Raw genomic sequence first — 16,739 nt, forward strand, 5'->3', positions numbered from 1 at the left:
TTATTCTTCTTTTACTGTGGTATTGAGAGTGTATTTGGCAAGGAATCCAGGTGAGTCATAAAAGTGTTATTAGATGTTGAAACTTTTTTCTTCATAATTGAACTCCAAGAATATTCAGAGATAAAGTGGAGCTTATTGATATTGTTGGAGGTGATAATTCCTTAAGGTATACACGCCAGCCTGCAGCGATTCAGAGAGTTAGTTACAATCACGTGTACACTATGTTCTGATAGACTGTGAGTCCATGGGAATGGATACCTCTAATGAAATTGTGGAAGAGACTTCTGACTACTTTTCAAATAATTGCTTTAGAAATTGTTTTTGTTAATTATAATATTAGCAGTTGAATTGGCGTGGTGCTTGATATAATTTTCAATGCTTTTGCATATTTTGTATGTCTCTCCTTATGTAAGCCCTACCACAGGCATATGAGATAGGTCATTTAAGTATCATTTCTATTTTACAAGCGAGGAATCTGAGGTTCAGACAACTGATACTACTTACTTGTGTAGTAAGGAAGTTCTAGGGACAGGATTAGAAGAAACATAACCATATGTGAAATGTCTAGCCCATTGCTTGGCATTTAGAAATTACAAAGTGAATGTTATGGACTGTTTTAGTACGTTTTTACCATCCTTATCTTCCAGTCCCTTTTGCATTATATTGTAATACTGCTTCTTTTAGAAATATATGCTATTTTTATATATAAAGCAATATCTGAAAATAGGTATAGTGATACCTCAGTTTCATATTTATGGAACTCATATTCCTTTTTTTTTTGGAGCTAGTACCTCACTACATTGCCTAGACTAGAGGTCAGTCGTGCGATCATAGCTCACTGCAGCCTCAACCTCCCAGGCTTAAGAGATTCCCCCACCTCAGCCTCCCAAGTAACTGGGACTACAGGGCACGCCACCATGCTCTGCTGATTTTTGTATTTTTTAAGTAGAGACGGGGTTTCGCCCTGTTGTCCAGGCTGGCCCTGAACTCCTGGGCTCAAGCAGTACACCTGCTTTGACCTCCCAAAGTGTTGGAATTACAAATGTGAGCCACGGTGCCCGGCTCACATTTCTTTTTCTTTCTTTCTTTCTTTCTTTCTTTCTTTTTGAAACAGGGTCTCACTCTGTCACCCAGGTGGAGTGCACTGCTGCAGTCTCGGCTCACTGCAGCCTTGACCTCCTGGGCTCAGGTAATCCTTCCACTTCAGCTTCCTGAGTAGCTGAGACTATAGGCATGCACCGCCACACCTGGCTAAGTTTTTGTATTTTTTCGTAGAGATTGGGTTTTGCCATATTTTCGCAAGCCATCTGCCTGTCTTGGCCTCTCAAAGTGCTGGGATTACAGGTGTGAACTACTGTGCCTGGCCAGAACTCACATTTTTAAGTGATTCTTGATTAATGTTTAAACATGATAATGTATGAAAAATCTAAATAGTGCTACATTGTCAGCCACCCACAAATGGTAGTTCTCTTAATTTGTATTTCTCGGATTTTTTTTTTCTGAGAAACTGAAGTTTTAATACACTATATCATAAATTGCTACTGTAGATAAGAATATCAAGATAATTTTTACATAATTTAGTTAATATTAATAAAAAACTATATATGTTATATACCAAATATATAGCACACTGTGTTGCATGCTGTGGTAGTAACAAAGAGGTATACTATATATTTTTTTCCTCAAAAAGTGTAAAATATAATTGGGGAGATACATGAAAAAGTAAATAATACAAGGTTTATCATAGGCTGTACATAATTAGTTGCCAAAAGAATGCTATACATTTAGAAGAGGAGATAGATGGTCAAAGTTTGAGGAGGCTTAGCAGAGGAGACTGGAGCCAACCTGGGCCCTGTTGCCAGGATCTGAAAGCACAGAAAGAAGGGAGATATAGGACACATCAGAATTTAGAGGTAATATTGCTAATTTTCCACAGTCAGAGGTAATATCTCTTAACAGTAAGCAAACCAGACATCTTGCCTGTATTGACATATTTATTCCCAGTCTTCCGATAAAAAGAACTCTGTTCTTTTGAGGGTATGGCTTATCCAAAGGGTATTTTATAATTTACAGTGCTTTAGAAACAAAACAATAAACCCAGGCACATACTATTTTTGGCACATATTTTTGATGTGTTAAATTTACGTAATGAAGATAGTGTTTTAAAATTAAATAACCATTATGGGGCTTGAGAATGTGTGTGTGTGTATGAAGACTAGATAATAGGATTGCTAGATCATATGATAATTCTATGTTTAACTTTTTGAGGAACTGCCAAACTGTTTTTGAAAATGGCTGCACTATTTTACAATCCCATTAGCAATGTCTGAGAGTTCCAATTTCCCTACAAAGTGTCCTTATTTTTTAACAGAGAAACATTTACATAATAGAGAAAGCAGGTGAATTTATGTTTGTTATATTTTTAAATATTACCATAGCTTAAAAAGGCAAGATATGAAACTTATAAAAATAAGACACTTTAAATGAAGTCCTTTGATGTCTATATGCCATTGAATGTCCAGTGTGCAATTTGCCTTTTTGCCAACATAAAGAGCAAGAACTCAGCAAGCAAGAGTGATACAAAAGAATTTTACTCCCTAGGGAAGTGTCTAATTTCTGGCCCAGAGTCTCAAAGTTCACAGAGTGCTGTAAGCCAGTAAGGCATCCCTCAAAGTTCATGTATTTCAGGAAGTAAGTCCGTGATTCATTAAGGAAAAAAGCTGTCCTTTTTCCACATTATGGATGCACTTTGAATTTATTAGAGAGTAAAGGAAAACTGGTGAAATTATGTAGTATTTTTGTTATGCTATTGAATTTTGTGTAAAAGGTATGCATTCTATATTTTTAGGTTTTTTTCTTCATGATCGGAATGTTTTTATGGGGGAATTTGAGAATATTATTTTTCGAAATTAAACACACTGAGGAGCAGGTTATTTCAGTACTAGGAATGCTTTTGTCCCATATGAAAGCGATGTTCCTTATGTTTGTTTTAAAAATACTGGCCTTTAATCTCCTTGGGTGGAAAACATTCGATTTTTTTTTTTAAAGCAAATTTGCTCTATAGCTGTTTCCACCCTTACAATCAAACAGGCTTTGTTCTTCAAGAATAATTCACAGTAAATAATGCAATACCTCTGAAAGTAGTTCCCTATGGAAAGTCAGAATTAATTTAAACCAGAATTCTGACATGTAGATAAGTTCCAAATTACATTTGGAAATTTTGTTTTTTTAAATTATATTTTTCTTTTTTCTAAGCCTTTACACTCTAAAGCTTTTTTCATTAATTGGGCATTTATTCAGTGTCTATTATGGGCAAAACACTGTGCTAAGCAAAGTCAGGGATGATTTTATAAAGGGTTATTTAATTCCTTCAATATTTATTAAATACCTACAGAGTATAGAGCACTGTGACAGACACTATAGTAAATAATTCCTAACCTCTAGGAACTAGCAATCTTGTATTTGAGGGAGAGTAGATATACACACATGAAATAAATAAGTAGTGTAGAAGTTAAATGCCTGAGTGACCCTTACTTAAGTTCAGAGAAGGTCAATATCAGTGTGAAGGAAAATGATAGTAAAATGAGTCATAGAATAGACAGAACCTGAAATGGGCTCTGAAGATTGTTAGTATTCAAATAGTGTTAGGGGAGATCGAAGGCAAAGGAGCCGGGTGTTCTACAGAACATGTTAAATTGTGAAAAGTAGTGGTGAGGCTAATGCCTGTATACTAAAGGAAGAGATCAACTTCTTGTTCATCAGGTTGAGGACAGTGGGAGAAGGTGAATTCTTTACTGGGGAAGACGTGGGGATGTTGGTACCTGAGGGGAGAACCTTAGTTCAGTAAAGACAAAAAAGTTAGGTGATAGAATTAGATAAACCCAGCTGAAGGAGTGTGGGCAAATTGTGTAACTTCTCTAAACCTCAATTTTATTATCAGTAAAACTGTGCCAACCTCATAGTTCAGTATAAGGATTTAAAAAAATATATGTAAAGCATTTAGAACAATGCCTGGAATATGAATAAGCACTATAATATTCAAACTATTCCTATTAAAATAGAGAAATAATAGGTCTCACAGTATCCACTGAGATTTGGGTTCTAGTAGGAGTGAATTGGAAACTTTGAGACAAAATTATTTATGTAATACCAATTTTTTTTTTTTTTTGATACCAAGTCTCACTCTGTCGCCCAAGCTGGAGTGCAGTGGCACGATCTTGGCTCACTGCAACCTCTGCCTTCTGGGTTCAAGTGATTCTCCTGCCTCAGCCTCCTGAGTATCTGGGACTACAGGAGCGTGCCACCATGCCTGGCTAATTTTTTGTATTTTTAGTAGAGATGGGGTTTCACTGTGTTAGCCAGGATGGTCTCGATCTCCTGGTCTTGTGATCCACCTGCCTTGGCCTACCAAAGTGCTGGGATTACAGGTTTGAGCCACCGTGCCTGGCCCTCCAATGTGTTTTTTTTAAATCTGTTAATTGATCTTCTCTTTTTATGCATCTGGATTTTTAGTTTTAACAATCCTATCTTTATAACAAGATTAAGTAATTTGCCTGTATTTTCTTCTAATATTTCTGTGGTTTCATTTTTTTTACATATAGATTTATGGTCTATTTGGAATTTACTTATGTATAAAATGTCAGGTATAGATCAACTTTTATATTTTTTTCCAGAAGGCCATCCAGTTATTTCACCACCATTTAGTCTGTCTTTTTGCTACTGCTTTGAATTGCTACCTTTATCATTGAAGTTTTTTTGTGCTTAGATCTGTTTCTAGCTGTTCTGTTCCATTGGTCTTTTTTTTTTTTATGTACAAATAACGTGATTTTTTAAATAGAGGTTTTTGTTTGTGTGTGTGTGTGTGTGAGACAGAGTCTTGCTCTGTCACCCAAGCTAGAGTGCAGTGGTGTGATCTTGGGTTGCTGCAACCTCTGCTTTTCAGGTTCATGCAGTTCTCCTACGTCAGCTTCCCAAGTAGCTGGGATTACAGGCCTGTGCCATCATGACTGGCTAATTGTTTTTTTGTATTTTAAGTAGAGACAGGGTTTCACCATATTGGCCAGTCTGGTCTAGAACTCCTGATCTCAGGTGATCCACCCGCCTTGGCCTCCCAAAGTGCTGGGATTACAGGCATGAGCCACCGTGCCCGGCCTTAATTAGAGGTTTTGTTGGTGTTTCAATATGTGGTGGGGCTGTTCCCCTCTCATTCCTCTTCTTTTTCAGGGTTAAACTCAGCTTGCCTAGCTCCAGAAAACAAACTGGTTTGTTTTTTGGTGGAATTGTACTACGTTTATCAATTTACTTAGGAATAATTGAATCTTTGTGATGAGTTAGGCTGTTGAAGTTTGAAGTATTATTTTGTGTCTTTCAACCATATTTAAAACTTTTCCTCATATAGATTTTTTACATTTCAGGCCAAATTGATTCCTAAATTATTATATCTTTTTTATTATGGAATTCTAAATGGGGTTTTCTCTTCCATTATTTTCTTTTTTGTTTATCTGTATATATTAAGGATATTGATATTTTAAATTGTGGTAAAATATGCATGACATAACATTTACCATTTTGATCCTTTTAAAGTATACAGTTCAGTGGCATTAAGTGTGTTCACAGTATTGCACAACCATCACCACTATTTAGCTCGTGAACTTTTCATCACTCCAAACAGAAACCCTGAACTCGTTAAGCAGTCACTCCTTATTCCTTCTTCTCCTCAGCCTCTGGTGACCAAAAATGTGTTTTCTGTGTCTATAAATTTTCCTAGTGTGTATATTTTGTATAAATGGAGTCATACAAATGTGGCCTTTTGTGTCTGGTTTCTTTCTCTTAGCGTAATTTTTCAATTTATGTTGTACCATGTATTAGTACTTCATTCCTTTTTATGGCTGAATAATATTCTGTTGTGTGGATATACCACATTTTGTTTATTCATTCATCCTCTGTTAGGCATTTGTGTTTTTCCTACCTTTTGGCTATTGTGAATAATGTTGCTGTGAACAAGAAGCTATTGATTTTTTTGTATGTTAATTTAATATATTTTAACCTTACTGACTTTTTTTTCCTGTTTGAATTCTGTCATTGGATCTTTTGCTATTTCTAGATTTATGATCAAATTTTCTACAAATGGAGATAGTTTTACTTCTTCTTTGCCAATTCTTATGTCTCTACTTGCTTTTTGTTGCCTAGTTGTACTGGCTAATAACACACCAAATACAATGTTAAATACTAGTGGAGATAGTGGGTGTTCTTGCATTGCTCCGGAACTTGGTAAAAAATGCTTTAGGTTTTTCTCCATTATTAAGATACTGACTTTAGGATACAGTGTCTCTATCTCTACCTGTATCTACATGCACAATTTTTATTGTAATTTTATGTGTAATTTTTGTTGAAAACACTTTTGCCTGAGACACTGAGGTTCACTTTTATTTTCACTTATCTAAGTGTTGCTAGTTTGCCTCTTGTATTTTCTAGGTTTTCTGTAATTTTCTTTTTTTTCTCTAATTGAACAGATGAAATTGATTTTGAAGAGAATATGGAATCAACCTTTGTGATGTCCATTTGTTCCCCTCATCCTACTCCCAACTGCTGCAACTCTACTGCTAACCCTGGCTATCTTTATTATGTTTCTGATTCTCACATCCCTTTACTAAGAATAGGGACAGTTCCAGGATTTTATGGCTTCTCATACCTCTCTAGATAAAGTTAAGTTTCTTAGTGTAGCACATAAGGTACTCAGTCCTCTGTTATCTGTGTACTTTTCAAATTTCCATCCTTTCTCTCATTTCTTCAGGTATTCTGAATTATTTGCATCCTTAGAGCATACGATGCTGTTTTCTGCCTCTTCCTTTTCCTCATGCTAGTCTTCCTGCTTTAATATAGCTATAAGCCAAGTGTCAAGTTTTATTTTTCCTTGAAGTGTGCCTGCTTTAAGAGGGTTGTCGCACATCCTCTTGCAAGCAGTCTGCGTAGCTACTGCTTCTCAGAGTTCCTTGCTTCTTTTAGCACTCCCTGTGGGCCACCACTTGCTTTACTAATGGTCTTTATGTGGAGTTCTGGGACATAGTCCCATTGATAGAATATGGCTGCCAAAGTTTAAGTGCCCTTTTGTACTCCTCTGGCAACCTGGAATATCTCTATCATAGCATTATACCATGCTAGTTGATTTACTTGTCTCTTTTCCGAGTACATGTGATTTAGTAACTAATCAATACTTTTTTTTTTCTTTTTTAATAGAAACAGGGTCTTGCACTGTCACCTAGGCTGGTCTCAAATTCCTGGACTAAAGAGATCCTCCCACCTTCACCCTCTTGAGTAGCTAGAACTATACACATACCACCCTACTTGGCTGATATTTTTAAATTTTTTTTTTGTAGAGACAGGGTCTTAGTCTGTTGCCCAGGTTGGTCCTAAACTCCTGCCCTCAAGTGATCCTCTCACCTTGGCCTCCAAAAGTGCTGGGATTATAGGTGTGAGCCCTTATGCCTGGCCCCAATAAATGTTTATTGAATAATAAGTGAATAGTAAAGGAAACTGGGATCTGTTACCTTCTTTTTTTTTTTTTTTTTTTTTTTTTTTTTTTTTTTTTTTTTTTTTGAGACAGCGTCTTGCCCTGTTACCCAGGCTGGAGTGCAGTGGCATAATCATGGCTCACTGCAGCCTCAACCTCCTGGATTCAATTGATTCTCTGACCTCAGCCTCCCGAGTAGCTGTAACTATAGGTGTACACCACTATTCCTGTCTTAATTTTTTTTATTTTTTATTTGTGGAGATGGGGTCTTGCTATGTTGCCCAGGATGGTCTCAAACTCTTGAGCTCAAGCAATCCTCTTGCCTCAGCCTCCCAAACACTGGGATTACAGGCGTGAGCCATTTTGCCTGTCCCTTCTTAATTTTACTCTTTCTTTCAAGATTCCTTACTGATTAGGTTAAGATTTCATAGAGAGAGCCAATTTATTTTCTAGTGATTAATTGTGGTTCTTACAGTTAAATTTCTTTTTATTTCAAATTAAGTTTTGGATTGTAAGCAACTTGATTAGGCAAAAAGGAGCAGAGGGCTGCTGAGGCCCAGCTCACAATTAGTATTTCCTGTCACCACTGGAGATGCACTGTGTATAGCTTTCTGTCATGGGGAGGTAAGACAGAAACTGAAATTAAGTGAGTATCCTTGAGAGACAGTGCCTTCTCATGCAGTAAATGGTAGACCATGCTATTTGTTATATCATTGATTGAACCGGTTGCTTATTTTGGTAAAAAGTAAAGTCTTTTTTACATCTAGGAAACCCTCTATTGGCAGTGTCATTTCTGTTTAAAAGTAGAAATGAAGAATTAGTGAGGAGTGGAAGAAGAGAAATTATACAGAGAAAGCATATTTTTCTTTTCTAAATTTGTGTGTTTATGTATAAGTCTACAGGAAATATATGAAATAGTCTTAAATTTATGTGTTCTACTTTACATAAAGCTTCTATGTGAGAGGATTTAAAAATCAATGTGCACATTCAGATCTAAGCTGTTTGGCTCACTGTTGCCATGTCTATCTTATTTATATTTTGGATATTTTAGCACATGTATCTTTTAAAGAGGAAGAAGTGGTTGTCAGCAAAAGTTTGTTTTCTTTGAGTAAAGGGAAATTAATATAATGCCTGTTTGTTTCATGATCAAATATATTTTTTGACTTCTTCCATAGAAATTTCAAGAAATTGCTGAAAAAAACATGGAAAAATTGAACCATATTGAGAAGTCACATGAACAGTTGGTTCTTGAAAATTCGCACTTCAAAAAACTGTTATCACAGACTCAAAGGGAACAGATGTCCTTGCTGGCAGCCTGTGCATTAATGGCTGGTGCCTTATATCCCCTCTATAGCCGATCATGCGCCTTGTCTACACAGAGAGATTTTCTCCAGGAGCAGGTCAACACCTTTGAGTTGTTCAAACTGGAAATTAGAACTCTAGCCCAGGCTTTGTCAACTGTAGAGGAAAAGAAGCAAGAGGAAGCCAAGATGAAAAAGAAAACATTCAAAGGATTGATACGTATATTTCGGAAAGGTGTTATTGCTGTTTTGGCAGCAAACAGACTCAAGATTTTGGGCCAATCATGTGCCTCTCTTTTTACCTGGATGGAGAGTTTCAAAGAAGGCATAGGCATGTTAGTGTGCACAGGAGAGCCCCAAGACAAGCATAAATTTCCAAGTAAGATAATTTCTGCTTTTAAAAATATAAGTTGCATGTAAGCGAAATACAGTGTGACTATACCTGGCTATTATGGAAAAACTCTTAAAAAATCATGTAATATGCCAAATAATATAACATAGTCTCCATATGTACGTATATGTGTGTATGGATAAGTGAATATTTTTGTATAAATTAGGCTGTGATTTTTTGTTTTAAACAGGTTAAAATATTAGGTGGCAAATATATATAATTTCAACTTTGTCTTGTTTTAGATTTGAATCCTCTGCAGTAAAGTGGAGAGTTTATACAGTGATTTTTCAGTTATGTCAATCAAAAACTGCCCTGTTTCAAATTACCAGTATAATTTATTTTCAGTTTCTATGAATAAGTATGAAATGGGTTAAAAATATATTGAAGAATTGTGTGAAAATGAGACAAATGTAAATTTTCCAGTTGTGTTTTGAATGCATAACTATTTTGAAGAAACAATTTGTTTTAATTTTTAAAAAGCAGACTATTAAGTAATATAAGTAAAACTAAAGAAAATTTGTTTTTTTCTGTTTATTTGGTGTCATTTACAGTTATTTGTAAATTAGGTCAAGCTAATCTAACATTTAATAGATTTTTCCACATTAGGCAATGTTCACAATAGGGTTTTATCTGTTTCTTAAATAGCTGAACACTGCTACGAATTTTAAATATAGATTTTAATAAAGTTTTGTAGAATTTTACAATGGATTTTTTCAATTTTATAGAACATCAAAAGGAGCAGTTGCGTTGTTTACAAGCGCTCAGTTGGCTCACCAGTTCTGACCTTCTTGCTGCAATAATCAGTTCTATGGCTGAATTACAAGACGTCATTGGTAAAGCAGGTATGGTTCCTTCTTTTATGTCCTTGCAAAATACATTTAAGAACAAATATCCAGAAATTCTTTATGTCACAAATTCTAATAAAACATATAGGGGGAAATATATTTGTTTTTATCTTTATTTTATTCAGTCATAGAGAGATTGTTAACTCTGTACTTAATGATGTAAATTAATATAAATTTTGTCTCTATTTATGGGGAAATGACATTTCTTGGTGAATGTATCCACCTTTTCTTTTTTTCTATCTGTTTTTCCTATGGAAAGCTCATCATCAGCTTTTTATTAAGTAATACTGGCAATGTTTTTTCATATGTTTTGGCCTTATTTCACTTCTACTTCTGGCTGTAAATTTCATAAGCTTGAGTAATATGAGAGCCAGTAGAAAATTTTTATCTCTCGTTTTGTGATATATTTTTTTACTTTTTCTAGTTTATTTTAGATGGAATTAATTTGGATAGTCTGCTCCTTTCCACCTGGTGTGGAACCACCTATTATCAGCAATTTACAAAAGTTTAAAATGCAAGTTTTTTTTTATGATTCGGATTGCATGATATTTTGTCTGACAGGTTCAATGAAAACTAATTGGACTAATTATGGTCATTTCAGACACATTAATTGTTAAAATTGTGTAATGGACTTAAGATTTGTCTGTTTAATGAAATGTAAGCCTATATGTAATGATAATTTGGGATTTAATTCTTAGACAATTCCACTGTGCAAATATAGATTATTCATTGTGATTTCAAATATCTAAACCTAGACTTTTGTAGTAGGAAACTTAAAGATTATTTTTAAGTTGTGGCCATCGATGTTGGTAAGCAATGCGCATATTTAATGTATTGGCAGAACCTCAAGATACTGGGTTTGAAGTCTGAAATAAAAGTCTAAACTAAATGTATTTTAAGAATTTTGGTATTATAACTTCAAAGCAAAACTGAACATTCTTGAAAGAGCTTAGAAATAGTTTTTAGATTTGGTTTAAGAAACAGGCGATTTGAGTGCTTCCAAGATGGCCAAATAGGAACAGCTCCGGTCTGCAACTCCAGCAAGATTGATGCAGAAGACGGGTGATTTCTACATTTCCAACTGAGGTACCTTGTTCATCTCACTGAGACTGGTTGGACAGTGGGTGCAGCCCACGGAGGGTGAGCTGAAGCAGGGCGGGGTGTCACCTCACCTGGGAAGCACAAGGGGTCAGGGGATTTTCGTTTCCTAGCCAAGGGAAGCTGTGAGAGACTGTACTGGGAGGAATGGTACACTTCTGCTCAAATACTCAGCTTTTCCCACAGTCTTCACAACTGGCAGAGCAGGATATTCTCTCCAGTGACTGGCTCGGCGGGTCCCATGCCCACAGAGCCCAGCAAGCTAAAATCCATTGGCTTGAAATCCTTGCTGCTAGTGCAGCAGTCTGAGAATGACCTGGGATGCTGGAGCTTGGCGGGGGGAGGGCGTCTGCCATTGCCAAGGCTTGAGTAGGTGGTTTTATGCTCACAGTGTAAACCAAGTTGCCGGGAAGCTCAAACTGGGCGGAGCCTACCGCAGCTCAGCAAGGCTGACTGCTTCTCTAGATTCCAGCTCTGTGGATGGGGCATATCTGATCAAAAGGCAGCAGCCTCATTCAGGGACTTATAGATAAAACCCTCATCTTCCTGGGACAGAGCCCCTGGGGGAAGGGGCAGCTGTGGGCACAGCTTCTGCAGACTTAAACATTCCCCTGCCTGACAGCTCTGAAGAGAGCAGTGGTTCTCCCAGCATGGTGTTCAAGCTCGAATAACGGGCAGACTGCATCCTCAAGTGGGTCCCTGACCCTCGTGTAGCCTGACTGGGAGACACCTCCCAGTAGGGGCCAACAGACACCTCTTACAGGAGAGCTCTGGCTGGCATCTGGCAGGTGCCCCTCTGGGACGAAGCTTCCAGAGGAAGGATCAGGCAGCAATACTTGCTGTTTTGCAGCCTCCGCTGGTGATACCTAGGCACACAGGGTCTGGACTGGACGTCCAGCAAACTCCAACAGATCTGCAGCTGAGGAGCCTGTTAGAAGGAAAACTAACAGACAGAAAGGAATAGCATCAACATCAACAAAAAGGACATCCACACCAAAACCTCATCTGTAAGTCACCAACATCAAAGACCAAAGATAGATAAAACCACAAAATGGGGAGAAACCAGAGCAGAAAGGCTGCAAATTCCAAAAACCAGAACACATCTTCTCCTCTAAAGGATCACAACTCCTCACCAGCAAGGGAACAAAATTAGACTGAGAATGACTTTGACGAGTTGACAGAAGTAGGCTTCAGAAGATGAGTAATAACAAACTTCTCCGAGCTAAAGGAGCATGTTCTAACCCACTGCAAGGAAGCTAAAAACCTTGAAAAAAGGTTAGACGAGTGACTAACTAGAATAACCAGTGTAGAGAAGAACATAAATGACCATCATGTTGAAGCTGCCAGGCTTCAAATGCATTACTCTGAGCAAGTGACTTAACCTCTCTGGGCCTCAATTTTCTGATGCAGCTGAAAAACACAGCATGAGAAATTCATGAAGCATACACAAGCTTCAGCAGCAGATTTGATCAAGCGGAAGAAAGTATATCCGTGATTGAAGATCAAACTAATGAAATAAAACGAGAAGACAAGATTAGAGAAAAAGGAGTAAAAAAAATGAACAAAGCCTCCAAGAAATAGGGGATTATGTGAAAAGACCAAATCTGTGTTTGATTGGTGTATCTGAAAGTGACGAGGAGAGTGGAACCAAGTTAGAAAACGCTTTTCAGGATATTATCGAGGAGAACTTCCCAAACATAGCAAGGCAGGCCAACATTCAATTTCAGGAAGTACAGAGAACACCACAAAGATATTCCTCGAGATGAGCAACCCCAAGACACATAATCGATAGATTCACCAAAGTTGAAATGAAGGAAAAAATGTTAAGGACAGCCAGAGAGAAAGGTCGGGTTACCCACAAAGGGAAGCCCATCAGACTAACAGCGGATCTCTTAGCAGAAACCCTACAGCCAGAAGAGAGTGGGGGGCCAATATTCAACATTCTTAAAGAAAAGAATTTTCAACTCAGAATTTCATATCCAGCCAAACTATGCTTCTTAAGTGAAGGAGAAATAAAATCCTTTACAGACAAGCAAATGCTGAGAGATTTTGTCACCACCAGGCCTGCCTTACAAGAGCTCCTGAAGGAAGCACTAAACATGGAAAGGAACAACTGGTACCAGCCACTGCAAAAACATGCCAAATTGTTAAGATGCTATGAAGAAACTGCATCAAGTAACGGGCAAAATAACCAGCTAACATCATAATGACAGGATCAAATTCACATATAACAATATTAACCTTAAATGTAAATGGGCTAAAGGCTCCAGTTGAAAGATTCAGACTGGTAAATTGGATAAAGAGTCAAGACCCATTGGTGTGCTGTATTCAGGAGACCCATCTCACACGCAGAGATGCACATAGGCTCAAAATAAAGGGATGGAGGAAGATCTACCAAGCAAATGGAAAGCAAAAAAAAAAAAAGCAGGTGTTGCTATTCTAGTCTCTGATACAACAGACTTTAAACCAACAAAGATCGAAAGAGACAAAGAAGGCCATTACATAATGGTAAAGGGATCAATTCAACAAGAAGAGCTAACTATCCTAAATATATATGCACCCAATACAGGAGCACCCAGATTCATAAAGCAAGTTCTTAGAGACCTACAAAGAGACTTAGACTCCCACACAATAATAATGGGAGACTTTAACACTCCACTGTCAACATTAGACAGATCAACGAGACAGAAAATTAACAGGGATAGCCAGGACTTGAACTGAGCTCTGGACCAAGCGGACCTAATAGACATCTACAGAACTCTCCACCCCAAATCAAAGGAATAAACATTCTTCTCAGCACCACATCACACTTATTCTAAAATTGACCACATAATTCGAAGTAAAACACTCCTCAGCAAAAGTAAAAGAACAGAAATCACAACAAACTGTCTCTCAGACCACACTGCAATCAAACTAGAACTCAGGATTAAGAAACTCACTCTAAACCGCTCAACTACATGGAAACTGAACAACCTGCTCCTGAATGACTACTGGGTAAATAACAAAATGAAGGCAGAAATAAAGATGTTCTTTGAAACCAATGAGAACAAAGACACAACATACCAGAATCTCTGGGACACATTTAAAGCAGTGTGTAGAGGGGAATTTATAGTACTAAATGCCCACAAGAGAAAGCAGGAAAGATCAAAATCAACACCCTAACATCACAATTAAAAGAACTAGAGAAGCAAGAGCACACAGATTCAAAAGCTAGCAGAAGACAAGAAATGACTATGATCAGAGCAGAACTGAAGGAGATAGAGACACAAAAAAACCCTTTAAAAAAAATCAGTGAATCCAGGAGCTGTTTTTTTTTTTAAAAGATCAACAAAATAGACTGCTAGCAAGACTAATAAGAAAGAGAGAAGAATCAAATAGATGCAATAAAAAATGACAAAGGGGATATCACCACTGATCCCATACAAATACAGACTACCATCAGAGAATGCTATAAAGACCTCTACATAAATAAACTAGAAAATCTAGAAGAAATGTATAAATTCCTGGACACATACACCCTCCCAAGACTAAACCAGGAAGAAGTCGAATCTCTGAATAGACCAATAACAGGTTCTGAAATTGAGGCAATAATTAATAGCCTACTCACCAAAAAAAGCCCAGGACCAGATGTATTCACAGCCGAATTCTACCAGAGGTACAAAGAGGAGCTGGTACCATTCCTTCTGAAACTACCCAATCAATAGAAAAAGAGAATCCTCCCTAACTCCTTTTATGAGGCCAGCATCATCCTGATACCAAAGCCTGGCAGAAATGCAACAAAAAAAGAGAATTTTAGGCTAATATCCCTGGTGAACATTGATGCAAAAATCCTCAATAAAATACTGGCAAACCGAATCCAGCAGCACATCAAAAATGCAAGGCTGGTTCAACATGTGCAAATTAATAAACATAATCCATCACAGAAACAGAACCAACCACAAAAACCACATGATTATCTCAATGGATGCAGAAAAGGCCTTCGACAAAATTCAACAGCCCTTCATGCTAAAAACTCTCAATAAACTAGGTATTGATGGAACGTATCTCATAATAATAAGAGCTGTTTATGACAAACCCACAGCCAATATCATACTGAATGGGCAAAAGCTGGAAGCATTCCCTTTGAAAAACGGCACAAGACAAGGATGCTCTCTCTCACCACTCCTATTCAACACAGTATTGGAAGTTCTGGCCAGGACAATCAGGCAAGAGAAAGAAAGGGTATTCAGTTAGGAAAAGAGGAAATCAAATGGTCTCTGTTGGCAGGTGAGATGATTGTATATTTAGAAAACCCCATCGTCTCAGCCCAAAATCTCCTTAAGCTGATAAGCAACTTCAGCAAAGTCTCAGGATACAAAATCAATGTGCAAAAATCACAGGCATTCCTATACACCAGTAACAGTCCAACAGAGAGCCAAATCATGAGTGATCTCCCATGCACTTCCAGTTGCTACAAAGAGAATAAAATACCTAGGAATCCAACTTACAAGGGATGTGAAGGACCTCTTCAAGGAGAACTACAAACCACTGCTCAACGAAATAAAAGAGGTCACAAATGGCAGAACATTCCATGCTCATGGATAGGAAGAATCAATATCGTGAAAATGGCCATACTGCCCAAAATAATTTATAGATTCAGTGCTATCCTCATCAAGCTGCCGCTGACTTTCTTCACAGAATTGGAAAAAACTACTTTAAATTTCATACGGAACCAAGAAGAGCCCGCATAGCCAAGACAATCCTAAGCAAAAAGAGCAAAGCTGGAGGTGTCAGGCTGCCTGACTTCAAAACAGTAATCAAAACAGCATGGTACTGGTACCAAAACAGATATATAGACCAATGCAACAGAACAGAGGCCTCAGAAATAACACCACACATCTACAACCATCTGGTCTTTGACAAGCCTGACAAAAACAAGCAATGGGGAAAGCATTCCCTATTTAATAAGTGTGCTGGGAAAACTGGCTAGTCATATGTAGAAAGCTGAAACTGGATCCCTTCCTTACGCCTTATACAAAAATTAACTCAAGATGGACTAAAGACTTAAATGTAAGACCTAAAACCATAAAAACGCTAGAAGAAAACCTGGGCAGTACCATTCAGGACATTGGCATGGGCAAAGACTTCATGACTATAACACCAAAAGCAATGGCAACAAAAGCTAAAATAGACAAATGGAATCTAATTAAACTGAGGAGCTTCTGCACAGCAGAAGAAACTATCATGAGAGTGAACAGGCAACCTACCGAATGGGAGAAAATTTTTGCAATTTATCCATCTGACAAAGGGCTAATATCCAGAATCTACAAAGAACTTAAACAAATTTACAAGAAAAAAACAACCCCATCAAAAAGTGGGCAAAGGATATGAACAGACACTTCTCAAAAGAGGACATTTATACAACCAACAAACATGAAAAAATGCTCATCATCACTGGTCATCAGAGAAATGCGAATCAAAACCACAACGAGTTACCATCGCACACCAGTTAGAATGGCGATCATGAAAAAGTCAGGAAACAACAGATGCTGGAGAGGATGTGGAGAAATAGGTACGCTGTTACACTGTTGGTGGGAGTGTAAATTCAACCATTG

General features: G+C 37.4%; 1 protein-coding gene across 35 annotated transcripts in view; it reads left to right on the forward strand.

Annotated features, from left to right (window-relative positions):
- The window catches only part of CCDC171 (coiled-coil domain containing 171), a 556,042-nt gene that overhangs the window by 182,703 nt on the left and 356,600 nt on the right, over nt 1-16,739 (forward strand). For all 35 annotated transcript variants that reach the window (XR_007061261.1, XR_001746227.3, XR_001746228.3 and 32 more), the window contains 2 exons: nt 8,686-9,190; nt 9,928-10,044. Coding sequence is in view for 30 of the 35 variants with exons in the window: in XM_047422930.1 (XP_047278886.1) it covers nt 8,686-9,190; nt 9,928-10,044 (622 nt within the window). In the remaining 5 variants the exon portion in view is untranslated. The remainder of the gene's footprint in view (nt 1-8,685; nt 9,191-9,927; nt 10,045-16,739) is intronic.

The sequence above is a fragment of the Homo sapiens genome, chromosome 9 (genome assembly GCF_000001405.40).
Source record: "Homo sapiens chromosome 9, GRCh38.p14 Primary Assembly".
Lineage (NCBI taxonomy): Eukaryota > Metazoa > Chordata > Mammalia > Primates > Hominidae > Homo > Homo sapiens.